This window comes from Homo sapiens, chromosome 3 (assembly GCF_000001405.40).
Source record: "Homo sapiens chromosome 3, GRCh38.p14 Primary Assembly".
Classification (NCBI taxonomy): Eukaryota; Metazoa; Chordata; class Mammalia; order Primates; family Hominidae; genus Homo; species Homo sapiens.
This window is the reverse complement of record NC_000003.12, coordinates 130614785-130631658: the sequence shown is the minus strand read 5'-3', so window position 1 is coordinate 130631658 and position 16874 is coordinate 130614785. Positions and strand designations below refer to the sequence as shown.

The 16874-nt window shown below is 38.9% G+C and overlaps 1 protein-coding gene across 16 annotated transcripts in view; it reads right to left on the bottom strand.

Annotated features, from left to right (window-relative positions):
* COL6A6 (collagen type VI alpha 6 chain) overlaps positions 1-16874 on the bottom strand; it is a 160323-nt gene that overhangs the window by 45384 nt on the left and 98065 nt on the right. For 15 of the 16 annotated variants that reach the window (XR_924103.3, XM_017005713.3, XM_017005711.3 and 12 more), the window contains 3 exons: positions 9776-9838; positions 5112-5174; positions 4290-4340 (listed from right to left, as the gene is read on the bottom strand). Coding sequence is in view for 15 of the 16 variants with exons in the window: in XM_017005713.3 (XP_016861202.1) it covers positions 4290-4340; positions 5112-5174; positions 9776-9838 (177 nt within the window). In the remaining variant the exon portion in view is untranslated. Of the gene's footprint in view, positions 1-486; positions 3063-4289; positions 4341-5111; positions 5175-9775; positions 9839-16874 lie in introns of those variants that run through there. The other variant, XM_011512432.3, reaches the window with a different exon arrangement.

The window sequence follows — 16874 nt, the reverse complement described above, 5'->3', positions numbered from 1 at the left end:
GTATTTTATTGAGGATTTTTGCATCAATGTTCATCAAGGATATTGGTCTAAAATTCTCTTTTTTGGTTGTGTCTCTGCCCGGCTTTGGTATCAGAATGATGCTGGCCTCATAAAATGAGTTAGGGAGGATTCCCTCTTTTTCTATTGATTGGAATAGTTTCAGAAGGAATGGTACCAGTTCCTCCTTGTACCTCTGGTAGAATTCGGCTGTGAATCCATCTGGTCCTGGACTCTTTTTGGTTGGTAAACTATTGATTATTGCCACAATTTCAGAGCCTGTTATTGGTCGATTCAGAGATTCAACTTCTTCCTGGTTTAGTCTTGGGAGAGTGTATGTGTCGAGGAATGTATCCGTTTCTTCCAGATTTTCTAGTTTATTTGCATAGAGGTGTTTGTAGTATTCTCTGATGGTAGTTTGTATTTCTGTGGGATCGGTGGTGATATCCCCTTTATCATTTTTTATTGTGTCTATTTGATTCTTCTCTCTTTTTTTCTTTATTAGTCTTGCTAGCGGTCTATCAATTTTGTTGATCCTTTCAAAAAACCAGCTCCTGGATTCATTGATTTTTTGAAGGGTTTTTTGTGTCTCTATTTCCTTCAGTTCTGCTCTGATTTTAGTTATTTCTTGCCTTCTGCTAGCTTTTGAATGTGTTTGCTCTTGCTTTTCTAGTTCTTTTAATTGTGATGTTAGGGTGTCAATTTTGGATCTTTCCTGCTTTCTCTGGTAGGCATTTAGTGCTATAAATTTCCCTCTACACACTGCTTTGAATGCGTCCCAGAGATTCTGGTATGTGGTGTCTTTGTTCTCGTTGGTTTCAAAGAACATCTTTATTTCTGCCTTCATTTCGTTATGTACCCAGTAGTCATTCAGGAGCAGGTTGTTCAGTTTCCATGTAGTTGAGCGGCTTTGAGTGAGATTCTTAATCCTGAGTTCTAGTTTGATTGCACTGTGGTCTGAGAGATAGTTTGTTATAATTTCTGTTCTTTTACATTTGCTGAGGAGAGCTTTACTTCCAACTATGTGGTCAATTTTGGAATAGGTGTGGTGTGGTGCTGAAAAAAATGTATATTCTGTTGATTTGGGGTGGAGAGTTCTGTAGATGTCTATTAGGTCTGCTTGGTGCAGAGCTGAGTTCAATTCCTGGGTATCCTTGTTGACTTTCTGTCTTGTTGATCTGTCTAATGTTGACAGTGGGGTGTTAAAGTCTCCCATTATTAATGTGTGGGAGTCTAAGTCTCTTTGTAGGTCACTGAGGACTTGCTTTATGAATCTGGGTGCTCCTGTATTGGGTGCATAAATATTTAGGATAGTTAGCTCCTCTTGTTGAATTGATCCCTTTACCATTATGTAATGGCCTTCTTTGTCTCTTTTGATCTTTGTTGGTTTAAAGTCTGTTTTATCAGAGACTAGGATTGCAACCCCTGCCTTTTTTTGTTTTCCATTGGCTTGGTAGATCTTCCTCCATCCTTTTATTTTGAGCCTATGTGTGTCTCTGCACGTGAGATGGGTTTCCTGAATACAGCACACTGATGGGTCTTGACTCTTTATCCAACTTGCCAGTCTGTGTCTTTTAATTGCAGAATTTAGTCCATTTATATTTAAAGTTAATATTGTTATGTGTGAATTTGATCCTGTCATTATGATGTTAGCTGGTGATTTTGCTCATTAGTTGATGCAGTTTCTTCCTAGTCTCGATGGTCTTTACATTTTGGCATGATTTTGCAGCGGCTGGTACCGGTTGTTCCTTTCCATGTTTAGTGCTTCCTTCAGGAGCTCTTTTAGGGCAGGCGTGGTGGTGACAAAATCTCTCAACATTTGCTTGTCTATAAAGTATTTTATTTCTCCTTCACTTATGAAGCTTAGTTTGGCTGGATATGAAATTCTGGGTTGAAAATTCTTTTCTTTAAGAATGTTGAATATTGGCCCCCACTCTCTTCTGGCTTGTAGGGTTTCTGCCGAGAGATCCGCTGTTAGTCTGATGGGCTTTCCTTTGAGGGTAACCCGACCTTTCTCTCTGGCTGCCCTTAACATTTTTTCCTTCATTTCAACTTTGGTGAATCTGACAATTATGTGTCTTGGAGTTGCTCTTCTCGAGGAGTATCTTTGTGGCGTTCTCTGTATTTCCTGAATCTGAACGTTGGCCTGCCTTGCTAGATTGGGGAAGTTCTCCTGGATAATATCCTGCAGAGTGTTTTCCAACTTGGTTCCATTCTCCACATCACTTTCAGGTACACCAATCAGACGTAGATTTGGTCTTTTCACATAGTCCCATATTTCTTGGAGGCTTTGCTCATTTCTTTTTATTCTTTTTTCTCTAAACTTCCCTTCTCGCTTCATTTCATTCATTTCATCTTCCATTGCTGATACCCTTTCTTCCAGTTGATCGCATCGGCTCCTGAGGCTTCTGCATTCTTCACGTAGTTCTCGAGCCTTGGTTTTCAGCTCCATCAGCTCCTTTAAGCACTTCTCTGTATTGGTTATTCTAGTTATACATTCTTCTAAATTTTTTTCAAAGTTTTCAACTTCTTTGCCTTTGGTTTGAATGTCCTCCCGTAGCTCAGAGTAATTTGATCGTCTGAAGCCTTCTTCTCTCAGCTCGTCAAAATCATTCTCCATCCAGCTTTGTTCTGTTGCTGGTGAGGAACTGCGTTCCTTTGGAGGAGGAGAGGCGCTCTGTGTTTTAGAGTTTCCAGTTTTTCTGTTCTGTTTTTTCCCCATCTTTGTGGTTTTATCTACTTTTGGTCTTTGATGATGGTGATGTACAGATGGGTTTTCGGTGTAGATGTCCTTTCTGGTTGTTAGTTTTCCTTCTAACAGACAGGACCCTCAGCTGCAGGTCTCAGATGGAAATGCAGAAATCACCGTCTTCTGCGTCGCTCACGCAGGGAGCTGTAGACCGGAGCTGTTCCTATTCGGCCATCTTCGACACGATCTTAAAATGGATTTCATTGGAGAAATTTGGAAAGCCTATGGAGAGTCTAAACTTGATCATTCATTTTAGGGTCCTCTGTTTACCTTACTTTGTTCAAAGACTATAATTGAAGAGATATAATAATCCCTACTGGATAAAAAAGTATATAATTAATTTAAAATAAAGCTCATTTCCTGATTATAATAAATCCTCAAACATGTATAAAATCAAAAAATAGAAAGAAGAAAAATCACCAAAATCTTACTGCCCAGAAAGATTATATACATTTTGTTATTTCCTTTTAGCTTTTAAAAATGCAATGTAACACAATTGGGATAAATGTTTTTCTGAGTATATTCTAAATTTTTACTTGAAAGTGTCACATAAAAATTTATTTACATAATTATAAACTTCATATACATTCATTTTATAGGGTGGCTAATGTTCCAATGCCATAGGCTACTTAATATTTCCCTTCTTGTAAGATGTTAAGGGATTATATTATGGAATATTAACTGTTCTCTGTTCTAATGAACATTTCACTGGAAATCCCTCATTCATTAGTTTTATTTTTCAAATAGTTCTAGTTTTTGGTCCTTTATTCTTCCAGATGGCCTCTTGCATTATTCCCGTTGGGATTTCACTTGGAATTATGTTCATCCTTCAATATTTTAGACTTTCCAACAAGATCTTGGAATGCCTCTCCATTTATTGAAGTTCTCTTTTCTGTCTCAGCAATTCACTGTTACAGGTCTCAAACATTTTGCAGACATGATATCCTTAACTATATTATGTTTTTTGTATTTTGTAATTATGGTGGGATCTTTTTCATTCTGACTTCTTAGTGGTGATTGCTAGTATACAGAAATCACTGGTCTTGGTAAACTTATCCCTCAGTTCCAGCCACCTAAATATTCAGTGACAATATCAAATTACTCTTCTGATATACAGTTTTATTTTTAAGTTATTGCTTGGGCCAGTACATTTAGAAAACTCCTGCACAACCTCTCATTACTGGCTAAATCAAACATAATAATAAGAGGACTGATTTTGGAATGCTTCCCTGAGTAAACTTGAGCCTGGAGTGGCTAAGATTACATGCACTGTTCAGGCTGGAACAAGTCAGACTAGGGCCGCATATCACTGCAGAAAACAGAAAATTTATTTTCAAGTTTCACTTGTTGCCTGCACCTTAAACCATCACATTCTTTTCTATCACATTCCTCATGGGATAGCAGCAAATAAATTACTGAAATATATTTCTAACTGTCCAAGATTGCCTTATTCCCTGCTTCCCTTTTTCTCTTAAATGTGGCAAACAAAACCAGCAACAAAAAATAAATGGAAAACGTCCAGCTTCCAGCAGACTTGACTTACCTTTGCTCCCTTGCGTCCGACACTACCATAACCTGGACTGCCATCATTGCCCTGTAAACAGAGCAATTGATTACCAACATCCCAGACTACAGATAGAGACAGGCTTATTCTTCAAGAGGACAACATTGCCAGCTTTTTGGTTTGATAAAGGAAAAGCAGGACACAGGATCCTCCTTCTAGGGCAGGCCACCAACATTTTATGATAGTAGTACTAAAGGCAATTGTTAGTAACAGATACAGACAATGCACTGTCCCTAGGTATTCCCATCTGTAAGCTGGGAATAATAATTATACCTACTCATGGGTTGTCATGAGGATTAAATGAACAAAAAATCAGGCATATAATAATCTTTCAATAAGAGGAGATAATAGTATTACCTCTCCCTGATAACACTTCTATTTTAATACCATTTTCAGTTTGCTAGACAAAAACAACTAGTAAATGCCCCAGTATTGGCTACTGTCTGACCCTTGTAGAAACCCTGAGCAGTGGGGGAAGGATGGAATGGGTTTCTGACGAAGAGGCTCTGATAAAAGGAAAGGCTGGAAAAAGGGTTACGGGATTGCTGAAGACAAGTTTTGTTCATTTTACTATTTGGCTTCAAAAGCATTCTGGCCATGATGTTTGGCACCTGGGGAATTGCCACCTTGGGAAAGCTGGCCAAGGAACTAAGATGAAGACAATATCCCTCCTAATTTCTATAAAACTATAAAACTTCATGAGGATTGTATCCTTAAAACTCTCTTCAGAGAACCACACCAGATGTCTACTGAACTAAAAGATTCCAAGAATCCGATCAAAACTAGTGTCAAAATACAAACCTGCAAGCCACGAGGACCAGGAAAGCCAACAGCTCCTTTTTCTCCCAGATCTCCAGGTTCTCCCTGTTAAACAGAAAGATTGTTTTTAGGTTGGAAATTGGAAATGATGGCACTAATTCAGCTCATCTGTGTGGATCACACACAACAATGGGTTTGTGCCCAGAACTGTGTGTCGTGCAAGTGATACAAGAGGAACTGCTGTTGTTGGCCAGGGAGGTGTCCTCCATTGATCAGTGAAGCCTCAGCAAGCATGATTTATTGTTTAGGGCAAGTTGCCATCTTAGCAGCTCAATGCCATGAAAATGAGTCAAGAGAAAAGCTCTATACTGTTTTAAAAAAATTAACAAAATCGTTTCCAGGATGATTCATGCAAATCATCTGGCCTCTGCAAAGATGGCAGATTGATTAATCTAGTTTTAATATTCTGAGGGAGAATCAAGTTAACCAAGGGAGCATGATATCCTGGCAATAGTTTCTAACTTCTGACTAGTAGAACATCTACTGTGTGTTATTAATCAATCTCAGTATTATGTTGAGGAAAGTTCAGCTACATGGGAAATCAACACAGGTTTACAGAGGAAAGTTAACTCCTTTTTAAAAAAAGGTAACAATTTTAATTTTGGAATAGTTTTAAATTTACAGAAATGTTGTGAACATAATATGGAAAGTTCCTGTATGTCCACATCAATTTGCCCCTATTTTTAACATTACATTACACTAGTTGCATTTGTAGGGTACATTTGTCACAACCGAATCAATACTGATTTATTATTATTAACTAAAGCCCATACTTTATTCAGATTTTTTCTTTTTAACCTGATATTCCTTTCCTGTTCCAGGATCCCATCCAGGATCCACATGGTATGTCTCCGTAGGCTCCTTTAGACTGGGACAGTTTCTCAGACTTTTTGATAACCTTGACCATTTTGAGAAGTATTGGCCAGGCAGTCTGTAGAAAGTCCCCCATTGCTGTTTTTCTGATTAGACTGGGCTTATGGGTTTGGGGGAGGAACATTACACAGGTAAAAGGCCATTCTCATCACATCATATTAAGGGTATATACAATCAACATGACATCAGTGTTGATGTTAACCTTGATCTTCTGGTTGAGATAATGGCAGTCAAGTTTCCCTAATGCCAAGTTACTCTCCATCTCCCTCCCCTTCTCTACTGTACTCTTTGGAAGAAAGTGTGAAAGTATGTGCAACCTACACTTAAAAGGTGGGGAATCATCACATCTTTTTTAAGGACAGAAAACCAACATAAGGGAAAATGGACAAGTGACCACCAGCACTGAACTCTGGGGTAACGAAGAATAGGATTCTATATAAGGGAAGCAGGAGATCATCTGCCTTGATGCCTTTTAGGACAGCGGTTCTCAAAGTGTGCTGTGGGGACCACAGCCACATCCAGGGTTCATGTGTCAAGAAAATTCTTGGATCCCATTGGATTAGACTCTGGTAAGTGGAACCCAACAATATGTGCTTTTACATAAGCTTCTCAGCTGATTCATATGCACACTAAAATTTAAGAACATCTGCCTTATGGTAAGGAAACAAGGAAAGTCATATGGCTTTTCTAGGGCCACATGCTTGGTTATTGGTAGAGTCAAGTGTTAAGCCCAGGATTAACTGCCAGGTTGCTTGCCTCCTGGAAATGTGAACTTACTGGAGTAAGGTAGGGGTAAGTGTTTGAGGTTTATCTCAGTGAATCATGAGTCTAGAGTGCCCAGTCCACCCTGGGGCAATACAGAGGATTTGGGTTTTCTTTGGGGCACTTGCCATCTAAATTCTTGACCTGCCCCCGACCCCTGACCAAGTCTTTTGTATTAATAATGATCTTCTAAGGCACAACTGCCCTGCTCCTGTTTATCTACTTCCCCACGGCCACCTCTATCCAACTCTAGGGTCCCTTTATCTATGTCTATCCTTGGTAAGATAAACTTGATTTTTACCAGTGACACCACTTCCCCTAGAGCCTTCTTCAGGGACAAGAAGGCAGCATTGTCTTTGTTCCAAACTTTGATTTCCCGATTACATGCCATATATTGCTACACTACATGCCATAGAAGTCCCTTCCTTTTGCAGTTGACTTCTTGTCATCCCCATTATCTTGTTACATCCTCCAATTAACTGTCTTTGCAACATTCAACTGCTGGACTCCATCATATCAGCCTTGAACAATTCTTCAGTACAAAGTTAACCCCTTTTCTCAGGCCCTCAAGCTCATCCTCTTTGCCAAATTTCTCCGTTAATCATCTACTCTGTCTACTCTTTCTTACATTTTCAATCTCCTCTTTTCTCCCTGGCTTTCTCCTCTGATTATAAACATGCTGGTCTCTCCTGTCATTAAAAACAAACCAATATCCCACATCAACCTTTCCTAGACCTTGCCAGTATGAGTAGTTAATGTCTTCTTCTTCCCCTTAAAGGCCTAGGTTTTCCAAAGAGTAGTTTACAGCTTTTTATCCATTTTCTCCTCGCACATTTCTCGGTCCTTTGCAGTCCTGTCTCCCTTTCTCTCCTCTCAATTGCTACACTTTTGAAACTGTTCTTTAGAATGTCTTAGCCACCAGATATCATGGCTTCTCCACTCCTCCCCTCCTTAACTTTTCTTTACCAGTTGGTACTCTTCACCTCCCTTCTTGAACTCTACTCAAAATCCAGTGTGCTTTTTTGTTGATTTTCCTTCCTTCCTAATAATTCATTGTCTTGTTTCCTCTTGGACTTCTTACAAAGAGGCATCACCAAGAGTTATTTTTAATCCAAATGACTCTGAAATTTACATCTCCAACCAGACCTAAACCCTTTCCTCTATCCCCCAAGTGATTTTCTTTCCTCTTAAACCCACTCTTCCTAATGACTTTCCTATGTCTGTGATAGGGTTACCCCTCATACACGAAGCCCCCAAGTCATCTAGCCCACTCCTCTCTGCATCAGTCCCCTATTGGAAGAGTTCTATGGAATCATCACAAGTTAAGTCCTCACCCCGTTAAGTCACCTAATCACTATTTGCCTTGGAGACTATAAGAGTGTACCAACTGTTCTCCTAGCTTTCATTCTCTCAGACTTCATAATATTTATTTATTTGAGATGGAGTCTTACTCTGTCACCCAGGCTGGAGTGCAGTGGCAGGATCTTGGCTCATTACAACCTCCACCTCCTGGATTCAAGCAATTCTCTCTGTCTTAGCCTCCCGAGTAGCTGGGATTACAGGCATGTGCCACCACACCTGGCTAATTTTTGTATTTTTAGTAGAGACAGGGTTTCACCATGTTGGCCAGGCTGGTCTGGAACTCCCGACCTCAAGTGATCCACCTGGCTCGGCTTCCCAAAGTGCTGGGATTACAGGGGTGAGCCACCATGCACAGCCTAAGCTTCATAATATTTCTACACTGAGTTGCCTATTTAAAATCTTCCAAAAGTCTGGCTGTGTTCATCCACTCCATTCAAAAGTTTTAGATAACACCGTGCTGGCCACTGAATAGATTCACCACAGGCTTTCTTGTTGTTTTTGGCCTGCCAGACAGGATCATTTTTCATGCCTAGATACCTCCTCTTCTCTCAGGATTTTCCAACCTTGTGCCTTCCTTCACACCGCTTTTTCTCATTACAGTCCCCCCATTCCCTTCTCTGCTTGCCAAAATTTTTATCTTCTAAGTCCTGCTTAAAGTCTGTATTTTCTTTTCTTTGAGACAGAGTCTCGCTCTGTCGCCCAGGCTGGAGTGCGGTGGTGCGATCTCAGCTCACTGCAAACTCTGCCTCCCGGATTCACACCATTCTCCTGCCTCAGCCTCCTGAGTAGCTGGGACTACAGGTGCCCGCCACCTCGCCCGGCTAAATTTTTGAATTTTTAGTAGAGATGGGGTTTCACCATGTTAGCCAGGATGGTCTCGATCTCCTGACCTCGTGATCTGCCCACCTCGGCCTCCCAAAGTGCTAGGATTACAGGCGTGAGCCACCACGCCCGGCTCAAAGTCTGTATTTTCTATGATGCCTCTTTTTGCATCCCAGAAATACTTCTAATAATGCCATTTAAAACTCCATTTTAGCCCCTTATCTTTATTTTATGTCATAGATTGTTATGAAAATATTCTTTGGGGTTGGTTTCATGTCATATATATTATGCCACCCACAGATTCATTTATTCAATATTTACTAATCACATATTACATGCCAGGCACTGTTCTAAGCATGGAGGATGGAATCAATGACCAAAACAAAGATGTCTCTCCTGGAGCTGATTCTTCAGCCCAACCGAACGCTCAGTACAGTGCCTTGGTCTTAAAAGGTGCTTACCAAAAGTTTGTGTGAATGGAGGAAAGGAAAAAAAAAAAGGGGGGGGTAGGCGGGGGGAGGAAATTAAGAGAGATTGGAAGAGAGAAAGGAAGGCCTGCCCCAGAATATCCCTTGTTCCCTGAGATCCCTCAGCTCCAATAGGGTGTATCCCTCCCCTCTTAAATTACACTGAGCTGGAATCCCTGATTTCATCCAGGTCCACACCCATGTCCTTAGAGGTTGTTGGCTCTCTAAGAATCAAGCCAGGGTTTAAGGACCAGAAAATGTGTTCTTGTTTGTGTTGAAAGGGCCCTGGCTAATACAATTAGACACAGTTCTCTTGAGCAGAAAACCTCAACTTTGGTGAGTATAAAGAATGTGACCTACTTTATTTCCTTGGCTTCCCAAACGGCCTTGATTCCCTGCCTCTCCTCCGGGTCCTGGAGGCCCCTGAAACAAAACAAGGGGTTTGCAAATATAGCAAAACATAAAGCAACTTTTCTTCAAACCCTCTGTCTTATAAGAGGAAAGTGAACCACAGACGAGAGAAGAGTTATGGCTGTATCGATCCTTGCTCTGGAAAAAAGTATTGCCACCATCAAATAAAGACTGGTAAATAAAAGAAAATTAATAAAGTAATTCATGCCAGATGTTGTCTAAAGAATTGTGCTTCCTTGTGAGTTTTCTCTTCCAAAGTGATTTCAGGTTGTTTTGCTCTAAGAACAGATGTTGTTAAAATGCCTAACACTTAAAGAAGCCATTCCAAATGACATTTGCCTTGAACTATAATCCTTCTTGTCCTTTGGTAGAAAGGACTGGCTTTGGTAGAAAACATTTTTTGGAAGACAAAATGATCTTTATTGGAAAATCATATGATATGTATATTAGAAAGCTTAAGAAACTTTACTAAAACAGTGTTCATAAGATATGTTTAGGTAGCATAAGATAAATATTCTGAAATAATTTTCTCTTTCCTAGTGATAAGTTAGAAAAGTAAATGTAAATAAATTCCCACTTACCAAAAGAAGAAAAAAACTGTAAAATGCTTAGAATAAATTTATCAAGAAAGATGCAAAACCTAAAGAAAGAAAGCCTTAAGATCTTATTGAAGAACATAGCAAAACTTAAACAGATGATAAATATAACACCTATCTATATGGAAAAGCTATCAGATATAATGGAAGTAAGTCCTTCCAACATTCTAGAAGGCATGTTTCATTGGAACAACTTTAGACTGAACATTTTAAAATACCAATTCAGAGATGACACAACTACCTTCCTCTGTTATTAACACTTGGAATCAGATTTTTCCTTTGGGATATCTAAACATATGGAAAGAGAAATCTCTTTTGGTACAACTGTTTACAGGTATTTGTAAATAATCCCAACCCCAGTGAGCTGAAATCATTTGCACAATTTTTTCGTCATGGTTGTTGTAATTTAAAAGTAAATAAACCAGCCTTTGCGTAATGAGCATGACACTTGCAAATTTATTTCGTTCAGAACAAAAATATTGTAACATTAACATTTTCATCTTTTAAAAAATTTAAAAAGCAATACATTGGACATAAAAAATTTCCTAATAGGAAGGATTGTTGAACAATAAATTGGTTACTAACAAAGATAAGAATCTTTCCATAATACCCTATCTCTCCCCCTTCCTTCATCTTTAAAGAAAATTCTCAATATTGTCACCCTCCATAGATAGCTCTCAACCCATTCCCTTCTAACTTTCACTTCCACCACTACATGGAGCTAACTCCTTTGACTTTCATGTTCAGTCCAGTTGACACTTTTTTGCCCTCACCTTTTTTGAGTTTGATCATGTGTTCTTTGAAACTTTTCCCTTAACTTCTGTCACACCAAGTAACCATGGTCTTCCTGGTCCCTCTCTAGGCTCCTCTCATGAACCTTTGAAGGCTCCCCTTATTCTATTTGCCTCTTAAATTCTGTGTGCCCCAGGGCTCCATCCTCTGGCCTTATTGTTCTCACTTTATCCCCTCTTCCTGAATGGCACCCGTATGAATTCACATATCACTTCTACACAATGACTCCTAAATACATGCTCTCAAGTCCCAACCACTCAACTGAACACCAGAGCCATATATTAAAAGGCTGAGTAACACAGCAAGCCTCTATGCCAAAAAAAAACAAAACAAAACTCAAGACTTAACCAGGCACAGCAGCACACACCTGTAGTGCCAACTACTTGGAAGGCTGAGGCAGGAGGATCACTTGAGCCCAGAAGTTCAAGGCTGCAATTAGCTATAATTGTGTCACTGCACTCCAGCCTGGGTGATAGAGTGAGACTCTGTCTAAAAAAATAAATAAAATTCCCATTGGACATCCTATTGAATAGAAATGGATTCTCAAAACAATCATATTTACCCTAAATCATGCTTCCAGTCTCATTTTCTTTTCATCAAGGAATAGTATCACCCTTTACTACCATTGAGACCCATGCCAGAAACCTGAGAATTATCCTAGACCCTTCCACTACCTCACTTCTCAAAACCCCTCAGCTACAAGGCCCACAGTAGAATCTGTCTACTTTCTGTACCCCTCCCTCTTCCATTCCCATTACTTGCCTTCAGGCCCATCTTGCATCCTGCCTAAATTCTTGGCTCTCCTAACTGTAGCCAGGTCTTCCTCTAATCCATTCTCCACCCTTTTTAGAGAGAGATTTAAAATGTCAGGCTGATGTTACCACTTTGTCTGAAATTCTGAATATCTTTCAGAATAAAGTTTAAGGTCTTCTTAATATGCAAAATCCCTCAAAATGTTGGAATTGCATGCCTCTGCAGCCTCATTTTCTGTGACTACTTCCATCGCTTTATGTTCAGGCACATCAAAGCAAGTGATTCATCAAATGTTTGTCTTACGTCTCCACACTCATGCAAATTTTTCCCTCAGCTGGTCCATTTTTTTCCCTCTAGGGAGAGGTACAATCTCCCTCCTCTGAAAAATCCTACCTTTAGCATCACTGTTTCAGGAAGAATACTCAAACTTCCTAGCTGTGTTGGGTCTCATGCTTGTCCCCCCGATTCCTCTACGCTGTAAGTAATTGTTAGTGTATTTCTCTTTCTCATTCCTTAGAGACTAGACTGTATACTTCTTTAACGGGCACGTCCTATTAATTCATATCTCTGGCGCATCATAGGATACCTAGAACCCATCAACCCATCCATTTATCTACCCAGGAAAGATTCTCAAGAGGGATGAACTACTGTGTTTAATTTGTTGGTTTTCCATATGAAATTTTCATGCACTGCACAGAGAAGTAGAGAGATTCTAATTGTCCTGAAAAGCAATGTATAAATTGGAAGATCTGTCTAGAAGCCTACTCTCCATTCTTCATTCAGACATAAATTCTGAGACAGAGGATGATTTTGGGAGATTATTTCATGTGTAGTTACCTCAAACACACACAAGAACAATGAGAGATTATCCTGTTTTAAGAACTTTCAAAATAAAAAATGTCTTGGATGAGTAGATGGTTGGATACATACAGGACCTTGCCATTAGAGAATCAGAAAACCTGATTGTGTTTCCCATGCAGGATCTTGCAAAGTACCAAAGTGAGGTTTGTGACTTAGATGAATAAGGCTCAAGCCTCAGTGAATGGTTACCCAGATAAATCACCTACTCAAACACTGCTGGTTAGATAAGGAATCACACTGGTGGTTTCTAAAAGAAAGACAAAAAAATTGTCACCCTCAGAAAGATATCAAAGAATGAAAGAGCTTAGTTGACTTGAGATCAAGAATAGCTATGGAGGGTTAAGAGAAGCTTAGGGCATTTAAAGGGGAAGGGCATTAGCTAGAGATCAAATCTTCTTTGGCTTTGATGTAATGGCTGCCTTTTATTGAGCATTCATATTTTGTGCAAGGCACTGTGCTGAGTGGTAAATAGTCTTCTATTTTTACAACACAGTGAGATGCCTGTTATTAACCCCATTTACTGATCAAAAACAGTTTCTCAAGGCATTTACATCCAAATTGCTCAGTTAATAAGAGGATTAGATGGGAAATGAACCTAATTGTATCTGACTCTAAAGACTAAAGTCCCAGCCACTATGCCTGCTGCTCTGAGGCCCTTGTGTGGGACAGGATTCCCAAACTCTTACCATCTATGCATTAGCCCAGATTGGAGTTCTAAAAAAAATGTGGCTCTCCAAACTTGATGCATAAGGCTGGGGCCACATCAAACCTCCAAAAGTGGGACTTGATTGTCCCACTTTTTTTCCTCAGGTTGAGTATTAGTTACAGAGCCCTTGGCAACCACAACTGCTTTAGTGTTAAGCAAGGATAGGAAAGAAGTGTTTAGAGGTTAACGATTATTTGAAAATTGTGCTTAGCACCTTATCAGAAGAGATTGCACTTGGGAGTTTAGGTTTAATGGTTGGGGCATTGCCAAGGACACCTTGACTTTGGATTAGATAAGGCAGGGTAGAAGAGGTACAGGGTGTTCCCACACTTAAAAGGAATCCTTGTCACTTGTTTTTATTTGTGTGGGGGTAATGTATGAAAACTCACAATGAACAAATATCAAGGTGGAAAGAAACAAGGAGATCAAGTGCTGAGCTTCTTTAAAAGTTAGATATCAGCTAAGTCTAAGAAAACAAAAATCAAGAGGCCATCAAATGGTGAGCTAATGCAAGAACAAACCCCAAAACATCTGAGATGTCAATCTTGACAGTACTAGTCCTTAACCTTAACTTCTAATACTTCTCCATGCATTCTACACTCCAACCATATTGAGCCATTTGTGGTTCCCAAAACTCACCTTGATATCTCTGTGTAACTTGGTTCCATCCTCTTTCTGCATGCCTGCCTTTCCTTGGTTACCCGGAAAACACCTGCTCATTCAGCAAAACCAAATACGCTCATCTCATTTAACTCCATTCTTTACCACATCACTCTACATTGAGTATAATTCTCTTTTAACATTCAGCAGGTCACATGTCAATTGTTTGTTTGTATGAGTCTCCTTTATGAGATTGGGTATACGTGAGGCTAGAGTCTATACCTCATTCATCCTTGTATCCTAGAATAGGGCCCAACACACAAGCAGCACTTAGTAAATGTTTGTTAAATGAGTAAAAGGAATGGCTAATGGACCACCAAACTTAGCTTATACAGAATGATGAAACTTGTTGATTACTACAGGTTACGTATTGTTATATTACTATCATGGCCTTTCTTGGAATGGTGACCTGCATTCTTTGAGCACAAAATACTCCCATTAAATTAGGTAATACTGATACAATATAGTAGCAATAACAAACACATAGAGCTTGTGACTGCAGGCAATGTTCTAAGCACCTACATACATTAAATGGTTTAATTTTCACAACAATCCAATGAGGTAGCTACTATTACCATCCTTATAATTACAGTAAAAAACTGAAGCACAAGGTGGTTACATAAATTCCCCAAGGTCACAGAGCTAGTAAGGTACAAAGTTAGGAATCAATGCTAGGCAGTCTGGCTCCAGACCGTATACCATTTACCACTGTGCTATGCTTTGTAAAGACAAAAACAGAAATTCTACTCCGGACTCCAAACTGCATTGAACATCTCCGAACTTTCTTGATATTGTACAAGCCACTAGTGATTCATTCACTAAGAAAGCATAAGTATTTAAAAAATAATTACAGCTTCAATTGAAATTTGTATTTTTGTGTCTGATTTTCCATCCTTTTTTTTTTTTTTTTTTCAGGCATTGATTAAATTAAAATAGGACCTTAAGGTAAACCAAAGGGGGAATGAAGGAAGGTAGAAAAGAATATGCCATTCCTTTCAAAGCTCTTTCTTCCTTTTCATTGTGCCATGGACTGTATTCTTTTGTATCATAGTCATATACTTGGCTGGATTAGCACACATTTGATTTATACAGAATGCCAGTTAAATAAGCCTTCAGAACATTGTCAACAGAAATCACATCTTTTCTTAAACGTATATCCTAAGAAAAACTTCAAATCCTGAAATTACAAAGCACTCATGTTATTCTATTCCAGTGGCTGGTCCTTGTGTGCTGTAAAACAATATGAAACCTATGGCAGGGAATTTATAGAACCGGTGAAGAATAATACTCTCTTGTGTATCTGATTGTGTTCATCTCTGTGGCTTTCTTTTGGACACAACAACTTTGTGACCCCATTCATCCATGTCCTAAACATAAAAAATTGTACACATCTTTGAAATAGCATTTTCACTGTACTGACAAAGGTATTTCAAGAAAACCAAGCACAGAAAGAAAAACCATGTTTTCCAGTCAGAAAAATGGTAGACGTAGACTAGAGAGAAGTGGTACCTTCTGACTAACTCTGACAATGCCAAGAGGCTGAAAGATTTATGGCCATGACCAATCTTGCCAAAGCAAGATTAAAGGGTACTCATTCACAGACGTGCTCTGCACAGCCAGTGGATGCAATTTTGGATTCTAGACCAAGAGAAATACCAAGATTTTGGATTTCCACCCACTCACATCTCCATATTTTATATAAACAGATGAGATAATCACATGATATATGTTTTTCTTGGCATTTCCATCTTTAACAAATTTCAATTTATGGTACCAGCAAGCTTTTATTGATTCAAGGATATGAATGCGAAATAGTTATTTTCATCAAGTTATTTCTACCATGACATTTTAAAGTTTTTATGCTTTTTGAAGAAGCACCTTCATCAAAATTAAAAACAAATATCTTCACAAGCAATAATTAACATGCTTTAAAACAGTATCATGACAGTATTAGGCAGATCATGCAGGCAGGAAATTAACAAAGATACTCAGAACCTGTACTTGAACACTTGATTTAATAGACATATAGAGAACTCTCCATCTCAAAACAACAGAATATTCATTCTTCTCATCGCCACATGGCATATACCATAAAATTGACCACACAATCAGAAATAAAACAATCCTCAGCAAATTAGAAAAAAAACAAAATCATATCAACCACAGTCTTGGACCACACTGAAATAAAAATAAAAACTAGTGCTAAGAAAATCACCCAAAACCATATAATTACATGGAAGTTAAACAACCTGCTCCTGAATGACTTTTGGGTAAATAATGAAATTAAGGCAGACATCAAGAAATTCTTTGAAACTAATAAGAACAAAGATACAACATACCAGAATCTCTGGGACGCAGATAAGGCAGTGTTAAGAGGGAAGTTTATAGCAATAAATGCAAGAGAAAACCAACCCCAAAGCTAGCAGAAGACAAGAAATAACCAAAATCAGAGCTGAACTGAAGGAAACTGAGATACAGAAAATCATACAGAAGATCAACAAATCAAGGAATTTGTTCTTTGCCAAAATAAGATAGACTAGTCAGCTAGACCAATACAAAAAAAGGAGAGAAGATCCAAATAAACACAATGAGAAATGAAAAAGGGGGCATTACCACTGACCCCACAGAAATACAAAAAGACCTCTCAGAGATTACTATGAACACCTCTATGCACACAAAC